Source organism: Homo sapiens, chromosome 19, assembly GCF_000001405.40.
Source record: "Homo sapiens chromosome 19, GRCh38.p14 Primary Assembly".
Lineage (NCBI taxonomy): Eukaryota > Metazoa > Chordata > Mammalia > Primates > Hominidae > Homo > Homo sapiens.
This window is the reverse complement of record NC_000019.10, coordinates 22,868,387-22,888,698: the sequence shown is the minus strand read 5'-3', so window position 1 is coordinate 22,888,698 and position 20,312 is coordinate 22,868,387. Positions and strand designations below refer to the sequence as shown.

The 20,312-nt window shown below is 40.9% G+C and overlaps 1 annotated feature.

Moving 5' to 3' along the window:
• Nucleotides 17,113–17,884: an enhancer, noted in NCBI's record as "NANOG-H3K27ac hESC enhancer chr19:23053617-23054388 (GRCh37/hg19 assembly coordinates)". NCBI's record gives its function as "activates a minimal SCP1, AML or CMV promoter by ChIP-STARR-seq in primed H9 embryonic stem cells {active_cell/tissue: H9 hESC(primed)}" and the evidence as "EXISTENCE:reporter gene assay evidence [ECO:0000049][PMID:30033119]".

Sequence of the window (20,312 nt, the reverse complement as noted above, 5' to 3'; positions counted from 1 at the left end):
TAAAAAGTGTTGGTTTAAAGCAGTGGCTTTGAGCTTGGCTGTACTCTGTCGTCACCTTGAGATATTTAAACAACACTGTTGCCCAGGTTCCACTCCAGGAATTCTGATTTAATTGGGGTGTATCAATTTGAATTGGGAAGATTTTTAAAGCGCCTCCCCCAGGTGATTTTTACACGCAGACTGGGGAGAAAACAATTGGTTCAGAGTGAAAGATGCATTCACTGTGTGTGATTTTCATGTGTGCTGCTGAGAATTGCCTCATGGCTGCTTCTGACTTTAGAATATTAAAAAGCAGCTCTGCTCCTTTAAAACTCAAAAGACAACTTCAAGATGTACTCAGCTATTTTTCTAAATTTCAGCAGAATAAAATATCTTTTTAGCAGATTTATCTATAAGTCACATGATATCAAGGTTAGAGTTTGTTTCAGGCACAGTAGTTTTAGTCAGTGTTGAAAATCATGAATAGTCTCCAAATATCAAAAAGAGATGAAAAGCATTTGCAGACATATTAAATCTGTTTTGTTAAATAAAGTTTAACCTAAAGCTGCCTTTTTATGTGTTTTGAATTGAGCCTGAGGGTTTCTTCATAGATGGTAAACTGAAACCCAACTGAAAGTGTAAATAAAGTGTAACTGAGTTTTGTGTCAGTTATCAAATTTTGGCCAATCAAAAGAGGCCAACTCTCTAATTCATGTCTAAATAAAGCAAATGCCAAGCTCTAATTAATCCAGCTCTTTCTGTAACTCACTTTTCTTTCCTGTACTTCAGGTTTTTTATCTGTGTATAAATATTCTTCCATTATTTTGTGACCAGAAAGGGATTGTAGTAAGGGTTAAAAAGAAAAAGAAACTAGTTTTCCTCTGCCTAGCAGCTCACTTCAAGGACGGTTATAAGATAACGCTATCCAAAAAGCCAAGGCCAAGGAATAGACTCCAGAAACTCCCCCACTCCAGAGCAAGGTTGAAGAAAAACAAAAAGACAAATTCATTTATTGTTACTCCTTTCCTTTGCCTCTTAAGCATGACTATGTTTTATAAATGTCTGTATTTAGCCAGTTCTTGTTTTTCTTTTGATGCAGCTACAAGGCCACCAGCTATGCAAGGCCACAGGTTATGCACTATATGATTAACTGCTTTTGTTTTGCTTTTGTAAGCCCACTTATAAAAACCCCACTCTGTCTTTGTTCAAGTCTCAGCTTTTTAGATGTGAATCCACTGAGCCAGTGCGTACCTTAAAATAAATATCCTCCTTTATTCACCCATACTAGTCTCTCTAGTCCTCTGCGTCCCGCAACAGGATCACAATCCAAACCTCAAGAGAGGGTTCTTGAATCTCACACATAAAATAATTTAGGGTGAGTCAGCCAGGCGCAGTGGCTCACGCCGGTAATCCCAGCACTTTGGGAGGTTGAGGCAGGTGGATCACAAGGTCAAGAGATTGAGACTATCCTGGCCAACATGGAGAAACCCCATCTCTACTAAAAAATACAAAAATTAGCTGGGCATGGTGGTGCATGCCTGTAGTCCCAGTGACTCAGGAGGCTGAGGCAGGAGAATCACTTGAACCCGGGAGGCAGAGGTTGTAGTGAGCCGAGATCGTGCCACTGCACTCCAGCCTGGGTGACAGAGCAAGACTCCATCTAAAAAACAAACAAACAAACAAAAAGAATTTAGGGTGAGTCTATAAAGTAAAAGCAAGTTTATTGAGAAAGTGAAGAAGTAAAAGAATGGCTACCTATAGATAGAAAAATGGCATGGGCTGCTTGATTGAGTATACTTATAGTTATTTATTGATTATATGCTAAACAAGGGGTGAAATATTTATGAATTTTCCATGACTGGAGTGAGCAATTTCCAGAACTGACAGTTCTTCCCCCTTTTAGACTATGTAGTTTAACTTCTGGACATTTCCATGGCATTTGTAAACTATCATGGCACCAGTGGGAGTTTCTTCTAACATGCTAATGCATTACAATCAATGTATAATCAGCAAGGAGGATGACCACAGGTCACTTTCATTACCATCTTGAATTTTATGGATTTTGTCTGGCTTTTTTATTGCATTCTGTTTTATCAATTGGGTCTTTATAACCTGTATTTTGTGATACCAATCCTATTGAACTCCTATCTCATCCTACGACTAAGAATGCCTAACTTTTTCTGAATGCAGCCCAACAGGTCTCAGCGTTATTTTATCCATCCCCTATTCATAGTGAAATTGTTCTAGTTTAAATGCCTCCAACAGTGTGACTGCTTGGGAATTTCTCTGAGCCTACTCTGGCTCACCAGACTGCAAATTAGTGAATAATTTTTTGCTTGATTAAACTCTGTTAAATTTATTTTGTTTGGCTGGGCACGGTAGCTCACGCCTGTAATCACAGCACTTTGGGAGGCCAAGGCGGGTGGATCACCTGAGGTCAACAGTTCGAGACCAGCCTGGCCAACATGGTGAAACCCTGTGTCTACTAAAAATACACAAACACACACAAATAGCCAGGCGTGGTGGTGGGTGCCTGTAATCCCAGCTACTTGGGAGACTGAGGTAGGAGAATTGCTTGAACCCGAGAAGCGAAGGTTGCAGTGAGCCAAGAATGCATCATTGCACTACAGCCTGGAGGACAAGAATGAAACTCCATCTCAAATATATATATATATTCTGTTTAAGGCTTTTTTAACAGATTGAACTAGAAGCAAAATCTGAAGTAGCCTCTAGCAACCCCCAGGAACACCAAGTGACCAAACAATGGCTTATTGTGTTCGTTGCTGTCTTGCAGCAACTAGGGGGCATGGTAAGTTCTTTCTTGGATTCCAAAGTGTCATGGATTTGTGTTTTGAACTCTCTGAGTTTTAGCGAATTTAGAATTCAAATTGGATTAAGAAGACAGGACAGAAACTGGACTGGATCCAGGATCAGGTTGGATCTGATAATTAACTGGCTTGGATTCAGTTAGAGGTCTATGACATCTCGCTGGGTCAGGTAGAAATCGGTAGTAAATGGCAATAATGCAAGGAGTGTAAACTTTGACATCTGTAAATTGGCAGATATTGTTGTGTTTTATCCCCTTGGTTTCTTATTCTTGTGTTTTTTTAGGCAGAAAAGAATCATTGGCTAAGTTTATCAGAATGATATCAGCCAAAGAAAGTTTCAAGATAAGAATGGAACGCTTAATTTTTTAAGAACTGAGTAATTTATCTTCCAGGTATGCCTACATTTACATGCATATGTATTAGGCCCTTGTAGCAGCAAACACAGAAATGGGAAAATTTTACTAAAGATAATTTAAAATTACAATGGGGTATTCCAAATAAACAACACTGCACTTTAGCACATGCATTTGAAAAGGAAGTCTCCCTAGTTAGCCTCATCTAGGCTTGACTGCTGATGTGCAGCAGCTTCTAAAAAGATTTTAATATTTTTAATATATTTTTAATATATTTATTGTTTTTTAAAAGATAATCTTCGTAAAAGGTAAATAAAAGACTAAATGCTTACTAAAAATTAAATCAATCTGCCAACCTTTTTCTTAGTCATTATCCCACCTTGAAGGTAAAAAAAAATATATATATATATATATATCTTAAATAAGTTATTTGTAGAAGTAGACGCTTAGGTAAAGTAGGCTTGCCCTTTTAAAGATTTATCCATACTGAGTCCAGGCATATAGAATATTTCTTAATGGGCTCCACCTCGAACTCAGAAATTATAGCTAAGAAACAGTAGCTAAGTTAAAAGACCACCTTTGAGAGAGACGGAAAGTGGTGACTAGAAGGCAAGACTAACTTGCAGCTCCCACTTTGATAGACAGAATAGCATGTAGATACTCACATTATAAACTTCTGCATCAAGAATCACCACAAAAACATACCAAGAATACCAAAAAAATTGAATTCACAAATTTTTTTTTTTTTGAGATGGAATCTCGCTCTGTGGCCCAGGCTGGAGTGCAGTGGTGCAATCTCAGCTCACTGCAACCTCCGCCTCCCAGGTTCAAGAGATTCTCCTGTCTCAGCCTCCTGAGTAGCTGGGACTACAGGGTCCTCCTCTTGGTTTCTATTATAAAAGACCAAAGTGGCCACCTTCAGGAGGTTCTTTAAGGTGCTAATTGGTCCTATAGCTTGCTTCTGTAGTTTTCTTCTAATATTGGAAGCTGACTGTGTAACAAACTTGTCCTTTAGAATGAGCTGTTTCTCGACCGAATCTGGGGATAAGGAGGTTTGCTCTATTAGTGCCTCTCTCAGCCTTTCCATAAATGCTGCAGGATTCTCATCTGGCTTTTGGTCTACCATAGACAGTTTAGAACAATTAAGAAATTTGGCCTTAGTTCTTTCCAGACCTTCTAAAATGCATATTAAAAAGTGTCTCCTTTTCCATTCACCCGCAGAGCTACTGGAGTTCCAGTCAGGGTTGTCAAGAGGAACTGCTTCACTTCCTATTTGAAATGGTGTTTCTGCTATTTCTTCACATTCCCTATCTCCTTTCTTCCCTTTTGATGTATTATAGGAGATTTGTTGCTCATTTCTGAAAATCTCTGCTGCCTGCAGAACTGCCTGCTTTTCAGCTGTGGTTGGGGTTTGGTTTAGAAGCAGCATAACATCCTTTCATGTGAGGTGATACACTTGAGTTAAATTCTGAAAACCTTCTATAAACGTATTGGAGTTGTCAGAAAATTGGCCTAAGTCTTCCTTTACTTCCCTAGGGTCTCGTAATAAGAAGAGAACTTGAGGTGGCCCCAAATAAGGGGAGTTCTCAGATGGTTCCCCTGGAAGTTGCTTTTCTAATTCTGGAGGATTGTTCTCTATAGTCCTGCCTGATATGCCTGTTAAAATAGCGGGGTTGATTTTACAAGGCTTGCAAAGGTTCAGTAAAAATGCCATGCCCTAGTGCAAAAGAAAATGAATTGCTTTTCTCTTCAAAGTCCTGAGGTTAAAGAAGTTCTAGTGTTTCACAGTGCACTCCAGAGGGGTGCAAGCTGAAGATGGTCTGTTGCTCATCTAGAAAAAGTGAGGATAAAAACATCGTTTTAGTTTTCCTGCTTTCATTGTGACCCAGGTTGGAGGGGAAGACAGTGTGAGTGTCTCCCCAACCATTCTCTTTTCTTGTTTCCTGGGTCCCAGCATCGTGTTAAATGTGCTGCCCATGGTTGTAGGTGTGTCTTTCCAAACCATGGAACCAGATGAACTAAGTGATGGGATTAACCATACTTTAGCAATGCAACCCTAGCTTATCCACCTGTGATCCCCTTTTACTTTCTAAACTTGTGTGATCTTCCTGGCTCCCCAAAAAATGAATCTTCACAGAGACTGTAATAGTCGGCCTTTGGGCAAGGTTTCTTTAACAAAAAAAATTGCTAGATTGCCTGCTATTATGGCTCATGATAAAACATTCACCCTTAGAAAAGTGTTTCTGCTTAACTTATAAACTTAAAATTCTCCTTACTAATTAAGTACTGTTCTAATTGGAGACAGACTAGGTGCCTTAAATGAAGGTAGGGACCTAACGATGATTTTTCCTGCTAATGGGACAGTATCAGAACTAAAATTTGGCTATGGAGAATGTTTTACTCCTAATTGTTGAAGGCAGAGCTCTCCCATTCACAGAAGGGGCTTTTCTAGCAGCACAAAAAATAGGAAACTGCAGTGTTATGGTAAAGGACTGACAATGTGTCTCACGAAGAGAATTTCTATTTTTCACTAGGTGGCACTGTTGGCTTAGAAATACCATGTGCTCACTAGAGGAACGTTAGAGATGCTTATTGAGTTACTGCCTGAGGCGTTTGCCAATCTTTCCTAACAGAAGTGTTTCTCTGAACTGTAAAACTTCCTGCACATTGCACACACAGAGAGAATAGGACACATAGTGACACCAGATAGAAAGAAAGGAAAATTTTATGACAGGATAGCTGAAGATCCTTTACCAACACTCAGACAGGCTGTCAGAGGCTGGGTTCAGTCCAGAAGCCTTTGAATAATGCCACGGTGTGCCCTGGACAGTAATCCTCAGTTGCATCAGACTTCTCCCAGCCTCACATGATGGTTAGGACCTCTGCGAATAAAACTGGTTTGAAGGAAGCCTTGAGATTAAAAGACAGATTTGAGGTTCACTCCATACTCACCAATCTGATGTTTCTATCTTCTGTTCTGATCCTGATCCCAGATGAGAACCCCCAAATGAAATGTCTTTGTTGTCTGGGCATCTACCCATGGTTCTTTGTCTTGCACTGAAAAAGAATTCGGGACACAAACACACACAAGCAGTGGGTTTAGAAGCAGAAAGTTTAATAGAAAGAAGAGAGAGAAGAAAAGCTTCCTCATTCTGAGAATGTGCGTTGCCCAAGAGAGGGTCTTTGATTTGCAGCAGAACATGATTGATTTTTTACAGTGGCTTGAGGAGGCAGTGATTGATTTACATAGGTGATGATTGATTTACAGGGGATTGGTTTGACTAAGTGTGCCAATTACATAGCCCATGAAAAGAAAGACCCTTAAAGTATCCACCCATACCAGAAGGCGTTGGATGCCCTTTGGTTTTGACATGTGGGTGAAGTTTGTCTGCCAGATCTCCCTTGCATAGCTTCCCACCCTTTGGGTTCAAAGAGGAAGAAGCTGTCTTGTTGAGGAGATTATCTTTAAGGTAGACTTCATAAGCCTTAACAACCTGTTTGACTGTTTTGAATAAGTTCTCTCCTGAAAACAATCTCTGGGCATATTGAAAAGTTTTATCCTTTCCCAAGTGAAAAGCTTGGTGAAGCTTTTTAAGGACTTTCCATTGGCTGGAGGCTGGCAAGTGGAGTTTGCCATCCTTTGACTGTAGCTATTCTGAGGGCTGGAAAGTGTACCCTTGAGTAATGACCCATTTTATCTCTGCAGGAGAGTACTGAGGCCTAACCAAATTAGGCCTCCAAATTTCTTTTAGAGCCTTACCAAATTAGAGGGGTATGAAGTGTATTGATGCCCTGAAGCTTCCTTTCTGCGATTTAACTGCCTGATCAGCTAAACTATTTCCTTCGGCTACTTCCTGTTTTCTTTTTATATTCCTTAGAGTGCATTTCTGCTATGTTTTGTGGAAGGAAAACTGAGGATAATAACCTGTTAATTTTTTGATGTTTTTCATTTCACATTGGATTTTTGCACTCCTAATATTGGGGTGTTACAGGGTTTGAGGAGGGCCTAGATTTTTAGGTTACTAATAATGGCTTCTAGCCCTTTTTTATCCTTTGGCTTTAGGAGATATTTTTTCTGATTAGAAAAGAAAGTGGAATCCACCAGTCGAGGTGGCTTACACCTGTAATCCCAGCACTTTGGAAGACTGAGGTGAGCAGATCACTTGAGGTCAGGAGTTTGAAACCAGCCTGGCCAACATGGTGAAACCCTGTCTCTACTTAAAAAAAAAAAAAAAAAAAAAATTACACAAGCATGGCAGTGCCTGCCTATAATCCCAGCTACTTGGGTGGGAGGCTGAGGCAGGAGAATTGCTTGAACCCCAGAGGCGGAGGTTGCAGTGAGCCCAGATCGCACCATTGCACTCCAGCCTGGGCAACAAGAGTGAAAACTCTATCAAAAAAAAAGAAATAAAAAGAAAAAAAGAAAGTGGAATCCTTAAGTTGGATCCAGACTGGCCTCATGTTTACAGCTTGACCTATTCTCCTTTGAATTGCCCACACTTCTGGATTAATATTATCTTCTACCAGATAGAGACAAAGAATTTGTCCTGGGCCTATAAGGATGCTGGTCCCCATGTGAGATAGAATGTCTCTACCTAATAAAGGAGTGTAACTTTCAGGCATGATTTAAAAGCCATGTGTAAATAATAGGTCCTTTTAACTGCAACTAAAGGGTTGAGAAAAATATTGGATTAGAGTTTTTCCTGAGATGTCTCTCATAGTCATGCTATGGGAAAAGGGTAGAAGAATAGAGAGAAGAAGAGAGAGGCTGACTCCAGTTTCCTGAAGGAGGTCTACCTTCCTTCTTTCAATTTTCAGAATCACCTGGGGATCCTGTGCTGTAATGGCAGTTTGAGCCACTGGAGCCAGGAGTTTGAGCCCCAGGACCCATAAGTCCTTCTGGACCATCTGTGAGACTGGTTCTGAAGCTGATGACCTCCACCTCTGGGGGCAGTTTGATTCCAGTGGACCATGCCACAGGCTCGACAGGGTTGAGGTGGATTCCTCTTGGTGCCTGGGCACCCCTTCTCAAAGTGCCCTGGCTTGCCACGTGGGTAGCAATTAGTGAAGGCACCTTCGGGATCCTGGACTTTGCAAGCATGCAAAGCAGCTACTAAAGGTTTGTCCTTCTTTTGTGCTCTCTTTCTTTTTAGGGGGCCTCCTTCTGGTCTCTATTATAAAAGACTAAGTTGGCCACCCTCAGGAGGTTCTCCAAGGTGCTGTCTGCTCCTATATCCTGCTTCTGCAGTTTTCTTCTAATATCAGGAGGTGCCGGTGTAATAAACTTGTTCTTTAGGATTAGCTGTCCCTTAACTGAATCAGGGGATAAGGAGGTGTGTTTTATTAGAGCCTCTCTCAGCCTTTTCATAAAGGCTGCAGGATTCTTATCTAGCTTCTGGTCTATCATGGACAGTTTAGAGTAACTAAGAGGATTGGCCTTAGTTCTCCATAGGCCCTTCAATACGCACATTAAAAAGTGTTTGATTTTCCATTTATCTGTGGCATCATTGGGGTTCCAATCAGGATTCTCAAGAGGTACTGTCTCTCTTTCAATTGAGAATAATGTTTCTCCTATTTTTTCATTCACTATTTTCTTTTTTGACTAAGGTTCTGTCATGACATGGGAACTTGAGTGGATCCTGAATAAGGGGGATCCCTCAGATGGTTCTCCTGGAAGTTGCTTCTCTAATTTTGGAGAATCATTCCTATAGACCTGCTTGATATGACTGCTAATAGCTGGGTTGATTTTGCAGTGCTTGCAAAGGTCTAGTAAAAATGTCAGGCCCTTGTGCAATAAGCCACTTTTTTTTTCCCCAAACTCATGGGGTTACAGGAGTGCCAATGCTTCTGAATGCACTCAAGAGGAGTGCAGACCAAAGATGGCTTGTTACCCACCTAGAAAGAAAAGTGAGAGAAAGGCACCCTTTTAGTCTCCTTCCTTTCCCTTGAAGTGGCCCAAGGTGGAGAGAAAGACAGTGGTTTTGACTGTGGTGGGACGCTCTGCTCCTAAAAAATTCACAAAACCAGCAACCCTGTGAGCTATATTTCCAGTTACTATTGGTATTTTCTGATCTTGCCTAACAGGATTACTTCCTTGAACTGTAAAAATTCCTGCGGCATTACGTACGAAAAGAGGCTAGAAGACATGGTGGTCACAGATAGGAAAGGGAGAAAAATTGTGATAGGGAAAGCTTGGAAATCCTGTTGCCAACATCCAGTCGAGCAGTCAGAGGCTGGGATCGGTCCAGACGCCTTCAGGTAAAACCAGGGTGTGGCCCAGAAAAGAAATCCTCAATTACTTTAGGACCTCTTCCAGCCCCATGTGATGGCTAGGTCCTCCATAAATGAAAAGCAGTTTGAAAAATAGCCAACATTCGCAGCAACCTGAGGGCACTGGGGAATTCATTATGTTCTCCCCAGCAAGTCTGTCATGTGAGACTTGAGAATGGCAGCTCACCCTAAAGGTACAGCTGGCCATAGGACACCTGGTATTTCTGGTTTTATTTGATTTTAAAATGGAGTGTGAGAGCCTCAAAATAAAAGGACAGAGTTGGGGTCTGGTTTTTTTTGTTTTTTTTTTGTTGTGTTTTGTTTTGCTTTTAGATAGAGTCTTGCTCTGTCGCCCAGGCTGGAGTGCAATGGTGTGATCTTGGCTCACTGCAACCTCCGCCTCCTGGGTTCAAGCAATTCTCCTGCCTCAGCCTCCTAGGTAGCTAGGATTACAGGCATGCACCACCACGCTTGGCTATTTAGTATTTTTAGTAGAGACAGGGTTTCACCATGTTGGCCAGGCTAGTCTCAAACTCCTGACCTCAGGAGATCCGCCCACCTCGGCCTCCTAAAGTGCTGAAATTACAGGTGTGAGCCAGTGCACCTGGCCAGCATTTGCTTTTATACTTACCCTTCCTATAATCCTGGACAAGCCCCCACAATGAAGCAGTGTCATTCACCTGGGGTAATACCTGAGGTTCATTGCCTCACAGCAATAAAATTAAGAATGCAAACACATGAGGAGTGAGTTTAAGAGCAGAGGTTTAATAGGCAAAAGAAAAATAAAACCTCTGTCTCCTTCAGAGAGAGAGGGGCTCTCGAGCAGGTCTTCCAGTTCTGTGGTGAAATGCATGGAGTTTTACAGATGAGCTTGAGGAGGTGATGTTTCATATACATAGGGCCCAAAAGATTGGTCAGACAAGGTGTACCATTTACATAGTGCATGAAGAAGCTGGCCACCCCACTTTAATTTTCTACTATACAGATGGGTGTTTTACCTGGCCAGTGCCATGTTTCCTGTTCCTTTATACACGTGATTCACAAAAAAGGGAATATGGTGCCTCCATGTTGAAAATGCTTGGCCTCAGGTAGCCTTTTCCCATTGGCACAGCTGCTGACATTCACCCATGCAAGCTTCTAGCTTGCTTATCTATATTTGCAGCTGGATTTTACAGGCTACTCTTTGTTGAAAAAAAGTCAGTTGGGGGCTGCTTCTTGTTAAAAGGGAAGCTTTGCCAAGGGCTCTCTTATCCTCACAATTTGCCTAAATAATTTCTTTTGTGCTCCTGTATCAATAACAGCAGAGCATAGAATGATGATTGCCTGGGCCTGGGGGTGGAGAAGATGTTGGCCATAAGCAGTGAGTATTCCCTACATTTTTTACCTTAACAAATAAGTTATTCTCCTCTCAGTTTTGATTCACCAAGAAATTGAATCATATTCTGAAAAATAAAAACTGAAGGAATAATATATTTGTTAAAGCAATACAGGTTTTACACTGAAATTTTTTTTTTTTTGAGACGGAGTCTTGCTGTGTCACCCAGGCTGGAGTGCAGTGGAGAGATCTCTGCTCACTGCAACCTCTGCCTCCCAGGTTCACGCCATTCTCTTGCCTCAGCCTCCCGAGTAGCTGGGACTACAGGCGCCCGCCACCACACCTGACTAACTTTTTATATTTTTAGTAGAGACGGGGTTTCACCGTGTTAGCCAGGATGGTCTTGATCTCCTGACCTCGTGATTCACCCACCTCAGCCTCCCAAAGTGCTAGGATTACAGGTGTGAGCCACTGCGCCTGGCCTTTTATGCTGAAATTTTAGAGGCTTAGCAAGATAATATATTTTCTACTTATATCACAATTCCTTGAGGGCTTTTTTTTTTTCCGGTTAAGAGGACTTCTAAATAATCTTTCAGGGATTTTATTTTCTTTAATCTTCTATCTGCATTATACTTTCTTCAGCCAACAAATGAAAAAAGAGATGCAGACAAGACACATTTGCTTCTTACCCAAACATAACTTTTACTCACTATTAGTCAATGCAGGTAGAGCTGAGAATAGCAGTTTCCTGGAAGGACAATAAAAAACACACTGAAAAAAAAGTATAATCTTTCACCAAAAGCTAATGTATTTTAAGTAAAATAAGCATGTGCATCAATAATAAAATGCTTGTGGTAAAATATTTCTTTTGTTGATTTCTGTTGAGCTCAGGTACTATGTGACTGAAAGCTTGCAAATATCTAGCAGAAAAAATATTATTTGAAATAAGAACATTGTGAATCAAGTTATCCTGTCAAGAGAAGTAAAAATATGAGGATCTCATACTAACAGTTTCATCTACAGTCATAAACATCAAATGCTACTTTTTATTTTAAAAGTATTTCATATAAGTATTTCACTTGTATTTACTTTTATTTTATATAAGTATTCCATTTATATCAGCTTCCTTCATTATTTCAATGTCCTCTCCACTTTTTATCAGTGGAAAACAGTCCAGCTGGTTTCAGGAAAGCACGTGGTGCCATTGCTACTTTAACGGTGATGATGGAGAGCACTTGTTTGGGAGTACTTCTGTGCCAAACACTGTTATTTGGCCCAAAGTACTGGTTTTCTATTTGTCTCTAAATTTAGTAATAAAATACAATTCTTGTCTAAGAAAACTTTATCTTATTCAAATATGTTTTATAAAATTTGATTGAGATTTAAGTGTTTGTGACTTACCCAGAATATTGACATTTTTTATAAATCCAAATTAAGTACTTAAATAAACAATCTTTTACTAAAAGGTTTTGTGATGCAGAGTAACATTCATAAAATGTCTTTATAATATGAAAGAAATGTGTTAACCATGTTCCCAGTAATAACTCTGAACACAGCACTCTGTTTCCAGTATTCACCCTTAGTCACGAAGGAGAAATTGGTATCTCTGTAAACAGGCCCAAGGAGGTGCTGAGTGGAGGTGCACGACACTGCACATCAATGCTTTCCACATGAACCAATTAGGGTTTTAATTTTATTGGATTGTCATTTGCATGGCTAGATACTTACTGAATCTAGTCATGCTATTTTTTGACAGCTAATGGCATCTATTATCCATTAGTTTTATACAATTATTTGCCAGCTGAAAAATAAATCTTTTGTTAATTTACTCTAAACTGAGAAACTAGATTTGCAATCTTTAATCTTTCAATGTTAAAGCAAATCAGAGAAGTGCAATGTGTGTATGTAGAATGCATTTTCCTGCCTATTAAAATTCTTCTTGTATTACCATGGAAACCCTAAAAAGCCACCTCAAAAATATTCTTTTTAAAATCTTTGGCCAGGCGCAGTGGCTCACGCCTGTAATCCCAGCAGTTTGGGAGGCCGAGGCGGGCGGATCACCTGAGGTTGAGAGTTCGAGACAAGCCTGACCAACATGGAGAAACTCCATCTCTACTAAAAATACAAAAAATTAGCCAGGCATAGTGGCACATGCTTGTAATCCCAGCTACTCAGGAGGCTGAGGCAGGAGAATCGCTTGAACCCAGGAGGCAGAGGTTGCGGTGAGCCAAGATCGCACCATTGTACTCCAGCCTGGGCAACAAGAGCGAAACTCCATCTCAAAAAAAAAAAAAAAAAAAAAAAAAGAACTTTAGCCAAGATTTCAGATATCAAAATGTTCAAAAACTTAATAATTGAGCAAAGCCAAAGTCTTGTGTTTGCATATTGTTAGTAATCTAGCCATTTAAAAAAGCACAGCAATTATTACCGCTTATTGGAAAGATGTGGTTTTGATTAATTTTACCCCATTTCATATGTTTTTGCTAATTGTTCTTTTATGTTAACCTACAAGAAACTACCTGCATAACTTTTCTGGATTCAAGAAACATTCATATTAGGCTGGGCATGGTGGCTCGCGCCTGTAATCTCAGCAATTTGGGAGGCCAAGGTGGGAGGATCACATAAAGTCAGGAGTTTGTGACCAGCCTGGCAAAAATGTAAAAACTCCATTTCTACTAAAAATACAAAAATTAGCCAGGCATGGTGTTCCACGTCTGTAATACCAGATATTTGGGAGGCTGAGGCATGAGAATAGTTTGAACCCGGGAGGTAGAGGTTGCAGTGACCCAAGATCAAACCACTAAACTCCAGCCTGGGCTATTGTCAGCAAGTTGTTTTTCTCAGTGGCTCTTTTGGTTCCTCTGTAAAATGAGAATAATTATAATACCTGTGGTATTAAGTTACTGGGAGAATTTAACTCATTAATATGGATATAGTGTTATGGTTAGTGCTCAGTACAAACCAGCTATTATTAATATTTAGTGCTGAATTACATTAATACATGCTTAACACAGAAATATCCTTTCATAACACAAGTTTTTCAACCAATAATAAATATATATTTAAATTAATTTTTTAAAAAATTTGACATGGATACACAATGGAATACTATCCAGCCTTAAAGATAGGAAAATCCTGGCCAGGTGTGGTGGCTCATGCCTGTAATTCTAGCACTTCGGGAGGCCGAGGCAGGCGGATCATGAGGTCAGGAGTTTAAGACCAGCCCGGCCAACATGGTGAAACGCCGTCTCTACAAAAAATACAAAAAATTAGCCGGGCATGGTGGTGGGCACCTGTAAATCCCAGCTACTTGGGACGCCAAGGCAGGGGAATTGTTTGAACCCAGGAGGCGGAGGTTGCAGTGAGCCAAGACCATGCCACTGCACTCCAGCCTGGGTGACAAAGTGAAACTTTGACTCAAAAAAAAAAAAAAAAAAAGAGGAAAATCCTATTCTTCAAAAACATATAGATAAATTCAGAAGACATTATGCTAGATGGAAGAAACCTGATACAGAAAGAATAATACTGCATGACCTCATTTATATGTAGAATCTAATAAATTTTAACTCACAAAAGTAGAAAGTGGAACAACGGTTACCAGTTGTTCCAGTGGTGTGGTGGGAAGAAAATAGGGAGTCGTTGGCCAGGCTTGGTGGTGCATGCTTATAATCCCAGCTATCTGGGAGGCTGGGGCAGGATAATCAGTTGAATATGGAAGAGGGAGGTTGCAGTGAGCTGAGATTGCACCAATGCACTCCAGCCTGGGCAACAGAGCAAGAATCCATCTCAAAAAAAAAAAAAAAGAAAAGAAAGGAATAAAAAAGAAAGAAGGAAAGAAGAAAAGAAAAGAAAGAAAGAAAGAGAAAGAAAGGAAGGAAGGAAAGAGGGAGTTGATCAAAGGGCACAAAGTTTCAAATAGACAGGTTAAATAGCTTTTGAGATCTATTGTACAGCAGTGTGACTATAGTAAACTATAATGTATTGTATATTTCAAAATGACTAAATTTCAAATATCTCATCACAAAAATGATAGTTGAGTTGATATGTTATTTAACTTGACTTTTTGATTCCATATTATATACATATATAAAACTTCATATTGTTCCCCATAAATGTATACAACTCTGATTTGCCAACCAAAAATATTAACACTTTTTTAAAACCAAAGAGAGAAAAAAGCTTTAAGAAATTCGGCCAGAGAAGAAAGTGCTTGTTCATCTTAAAATTTTCAGGAAACACATACACACACATATGTGAATATATAAGAATTTGCCAAGGATAGTATTAGAAACATTCGACTACTATATAGCCTCAGACTGACTGAGTAGAATGAACATAAGTTACAGTCCACTGATGTGGTCACCTGGTTTTTAGGCTTAACATTGATCACAATCTAACAGAATTGACAAATAAGAGCTAAAATTTCTGTACACTTGCTATACGTTGGATGCTCTTCTGGGACATTATTTGTATCACTTGCTCTAATTTTAACAAAACCTTAGGATTTAGGCACCATTATTCTCACTGTACAGCTGAAGAATCAAGCACATAGCGGTGAAGAAACTGCATTCAGGTCGTACAGCCCATAAATAGCAGAACTGAGATGCAATCAGGAACCACTTGATGTCGAGTTTGACTCTTAATCATTATACCCAACACACTCTTATCCAATGCTTGTTTTTATTCCTAACTTAACATTTTGGCTTTGAATTTTCTAACTTAGTAGAAATAAAGAGGAATTTACAAACCACTTCTTTTTACACTTAGATAGTATGTAGAACTTGATTTTTGGTTTAAAGTACTCATTACGAAGCCTAAGATAGACACTTTGGTAAATGGATTCTAACAATGATATCTATCCCTCTCATGACTTAAAAAAGCCATTAATTTTACTTTTGAAATAATTTGAATTTTTAAATTAAAAGCTAGGATGAGGCCAGGTGAGGTGGCCCACGCCTGTAATCCCAACACATTGGGAGGCCAAGGTGAGCAGATCACCTAAGGTCGGGAGTTCAAGACCAGCCTGACCAACATGGAGAAACCTCATCTCTACTAAAAATACAAATTAGCCAGGCATGGTGGCACATGCCTGTAATCCCAGCTACTCAGGAGGCTGAGGCAGAAGAATTGCCTGTACCCGGGAGGTGGAGTTTGCAGTGAGCCAAGATCGCGCCATTGCACTCCAGCCTGGGCAATAAAAGCAAAACTCTGTCTCAAAAAATTTTTAAAAAAATAAAAATAAAAGCTAGGATGAGCCTATTATCATATAGAAAATTTGTTGTCTCCATGTACGTCATCATCCATTAAGTGGTCCACAGTTTCTGAAAGTTTCAGAAACACAAATATAAGAATACTTTTTTTGAATATTTTTTGAATAATTAAAGGATATTAGGGTTTTTTCAGTGACTAAAATGAAATAGATTGGAATTACTGATCAGTCACTTAAAATGTGGTTTTAAATCTTATTTAATGAACAAATGTGGCCTTCTCCCCTCTCCCCTCTCCCCTCTCCCCTGTCCCCTGTCCCCTCTCTCCCCTCTCTCCTCTCTCCTCTTCTCCCCTTTCCACGGTCTCCCTCTCATGCCGAGCCAAAGCTGGACTGTGCTGCTGCCATCTCGGCTCACTGCAACCTCCCTGCCTGATTCTCCTGCCTCAGCCTGCCCAGTGCCTGCGATTGCAGGCGCGCGCTGCCACGCCTGACTGGTTTTCGTATTTTTTTGGTGGAGACGGGGTTTCGCTGTGTTGGCCGGGCTGGTCTCCAGCTCCTAACCGCGAGTGATCCGCCAGCCTCGGCCTCCCGAGGTGCCGGGATTGCAGATGGAGTCTCGTTAACTCAGTGCTCAATGGTGCCCAGGCTGGAGTGCAGTGGCGTGATCTCGGCTGGCTACAACCTCCACCTCCCAGCTGCCTGCCTTGGCCCCCCAAAGTGCGGAGATTGCAGCCTCTGCCCGGCCGCCACCCCGTCTGGGAAGTGAGGAGCGTCTCTGCCTGGCCGCCCATCGTCTGGGATGTGAGGAGCCCCTCTGCCTGGCTGCCCAGTCTGGAAAGTGAGGAGCGTCTCTGCCCGGCCGCCATCCCATCTGGAAAGTGAGGAGCGTCTCTGCCCGGCCGCCCATCGTCTGAGATGTGGGGAGCGCCTCTGCCCCGCCGCCCCGTCTGGGATGTGAGGAGCGCCTCGGCCCGGCCGTGACCCCATCTGGGAGGTGAGGATCGTCTCTGCCCGGCCGCCCCGTCTGAGAAGTGAGGAGCCCCTCCGCCCGGCAACTGCCCCATCTGAGAAGTGAGGATCCCCTCTGCCTGGCTGCCACCCCATCTGGGAAGTGAGGAGCGTCTCCGCCCGGCAGCCACCCCGCCTGGGAGGGAGGTGGGGGGGTCAGCCCCTGCCAGGCCAGCTGCCCCCGGGAGGGAGGTGGGGGGTCAGCCCCCCGCCCGGCCAGCCGCCCCATCCGGGAGGGAGGTGGGGAGGTCAGCCCCCCGCCCGGCCAGCCGCCCCGTCCGGGAGGTGAGGGGCGGCGCCTCTGCCCGGCTGCCCCTACTGGGCAGTGAGGAGCCCCTCTGCCCGGCCACCACCCCGTCTGGGAGGTGTACCCAACAGCTCATTGAGAACGGGCCATGATGACAATGGCGGTTTTGTGGAATAGAAAAGGGGGCAAGGTGGGGAAAAGATTGAGAAATCGGATGGTTGCTGTGTCTGTGTAGAAAGTAGTAGACGTGGGAGACTTTTCATTTTGTTCTGTACTAAGAAAAATTCTTCTGCCTTGAGATCCTGTTGATCTATGACCTTACCCCCAACCCTGTGCTCTCTGAAACATGTGCTGTGTCCACTCAGGGTTAAATGGATTAAGGGCGGTGCAAGATGTGCTTTGTTAAACAGATGCTTGAAGGCAGCATGCTTCTTGAGAGTCATCACCACTCCCTAATCTCAAGTACCCAGGGACACAAACACTCTGCCTAGGAAAACCAGAGACCTTTGTTCACTTGTTTGTCTGCTGACCTTCCCTCCACTATTGTCCTATGACCCTGCCAAATCCCTCTCTGCGAGAAACACCCAAGAATGATCAATAAAAAAAAAAAAAAATGAACAAATATGAAGTTTCTTTTAAACTTATTTTAAAAAATTAATTTTATTGATTTTTTGTTTCTTTTTCTTTTTTGAGACTGAGTCTTGCTCTTTCACCCAGGCTGGAGTGCAATGGCACAATCTCGGCTCACTGCAACCTCCGCCTCCTGGGTTCCAGCGATTCTCCTGCCTCAGCCTCCTAAGTAGCTGGGATTACAGGCACCCGCCACTACATCCGGCTAATTTTTGTATTGTTAGTAGAGACAGGGTTTCACCATGTTAGTCAGGCTGGTCTCGAACTCCTGACCTCAGGGGATCCACCTGCCTCGGCCTCCCAAAGTGCTGGAATTACAGGTGTGAGCCATCATGCCCAGCCACTTTTTCTCTTCTATTAGAAAAAAATATTAAAATTTCTGCTACTGCAAGCCTATGAATTTTGTACAAATCTAAGCAGTACTAATTTTAAAAGATCTGGGCTGGGCACGGTGGCTCACACCTGTCATCCCAGCACTTTGGGAGGCCAAGGTGGGCAGATCACCTGAGGTCAGGAGTTTGAGACCAGCCTGGCCAACATGGTGAAACCCTGTCTCTAGTAAAAATACAAAAATTATCTGGGTGTGGTGGCACATGCCTGTAATCCCAGCTGCTTGGGAGGCTGAGGTAGGAGAATCGCTTGAAGCTGCCAGGTAGAGGTTGCAGTGAGCCAAGATTTGTTTCATTGCACTCCAACTTGGGTAACAAGAATGAAACTTTGTCTCAAAAAAAAAATCTGTATCCTTAGGATTATAAAAACCTATTCTCTATCTACTATTAGAAGATAAATAACTACTTTCCAGTAAACCCAATAGGGCAATTGTGACTCACAATCATAAGCTATTACAATTTTAATACTATCATTTAGATAAAACTTTTAGGTATCTTCATGTTCAAGTTGTTTAATTTATAATAATTCAGAAACTACAAATTTTTATAAACTATAAAAAACTAAATATATAAAGTATCAATTTGTTTCTATATTTTGAAATACTGTCATTATTTATTGTTGACATAACACTACATTTCAGATGGTGTGGTTGTAGAAACTAGAAATGTCATGGTCAACTCTGCTTTATTTCCTGTCTTCTAATTTCACACAAACACAGCAGCACAAGGTAGGCCAGAAATGCTACACATTCATTGCAAACACACTAGTACTTTTCTAGGAAAAATATTTGTGTGAGCATATTAACATAAAATTCATGGCTTTTTAAGTACAGACTTATATAGGAGATAATAAAGACCAAACTTTAAACACTGCAATAGATTAAGAAAAGTACTCTGAAAACACCTTCTGACCCATTGTTTCTATTTCTTGTGATGGAATAAGCATTTGCAGCAGTGTGGTCTTAAATAAACCACAGTCTCTGTTTCATTGTTCTTAGGCTATGGACATTAGACTTTTATGCATTTTTTTAGAAAAATGTTTTATTTTCCTAATTAAGGAATTAACCATGATTTTCACAACCTCACATTTTCTAAAAAAATTTTTAATGTGATTAAACCACTTACCATTTTTCCCCCAAAAGAGTAGACTAACAAATTAACTCTATAGTCTAATGTACAGTTGATACATAAAAAATAAAGATGTAGGGTCTTTTATTTTATCTGCATACTTGGGAATAAAACACTTCTTGAGCTATATAGCCCAAGAGCTTTCAGAGAGGCTAGCTTATAGAGTGTGGGGAGACCTGGTATAAAAACATTTACCCTTATGCCCTAAGGGGCAAATAATTCTCTCACCCCTAATTCCAACTACTAATTCAGAACTGGAGAAATGTAACATGCCATTATACCACAAAACATTTTATTATTTTTATCTTAGATTCAAGTGGTACATGTGCAGATTTGTAACCTGTATACATCAGGATGTTGAGGCTTGCACATTTAATAATTCCATTGCCCACATAGTGTACATCATACCCTATAGTTTTTCAAGGTTTTTGCCACTGTAAATAGTGCTGCAATCAACATGTAAGTACAGGTGTCATTTTAGTAAAATATTTTCCTTCGGGTAGATACCCAAAAAAGGGGTTAATGGGTCAAATGGCAATTCTATCTTTAGTTATTTGAAAAATGTAGAAACTTTCACAGGGGCTGAATTTGCATTTTCACCAACAGTTTATAAAGATTTTCTTCTCTCCAAAATTTTCCGTCTCTCTGATTAGAGATCTTGTGCAATTTTCTGCATGTTTATTGGCAGCTTTTATGTCTTCCTTTGAGAAGTATTTACATCACTTGTCTACTTTCTTATTAAATCTTATAGATTCCATGTATTAATCCTTTGTGGTATGCAGTATACAAATAATTTATTCCACACTGTAGGCTCTATGTTTACTTTGTTGATAGCTTTTTACTGTGCAAAAGCTCCTTAGTTTACTTAGGTGCCATTTTAAAATTTTTATTTTTGTTGCATTCACTTTTAAGGTGTTAGTCATAAATTATTTCTAGAGGCCAGTGTCTAGAAATGT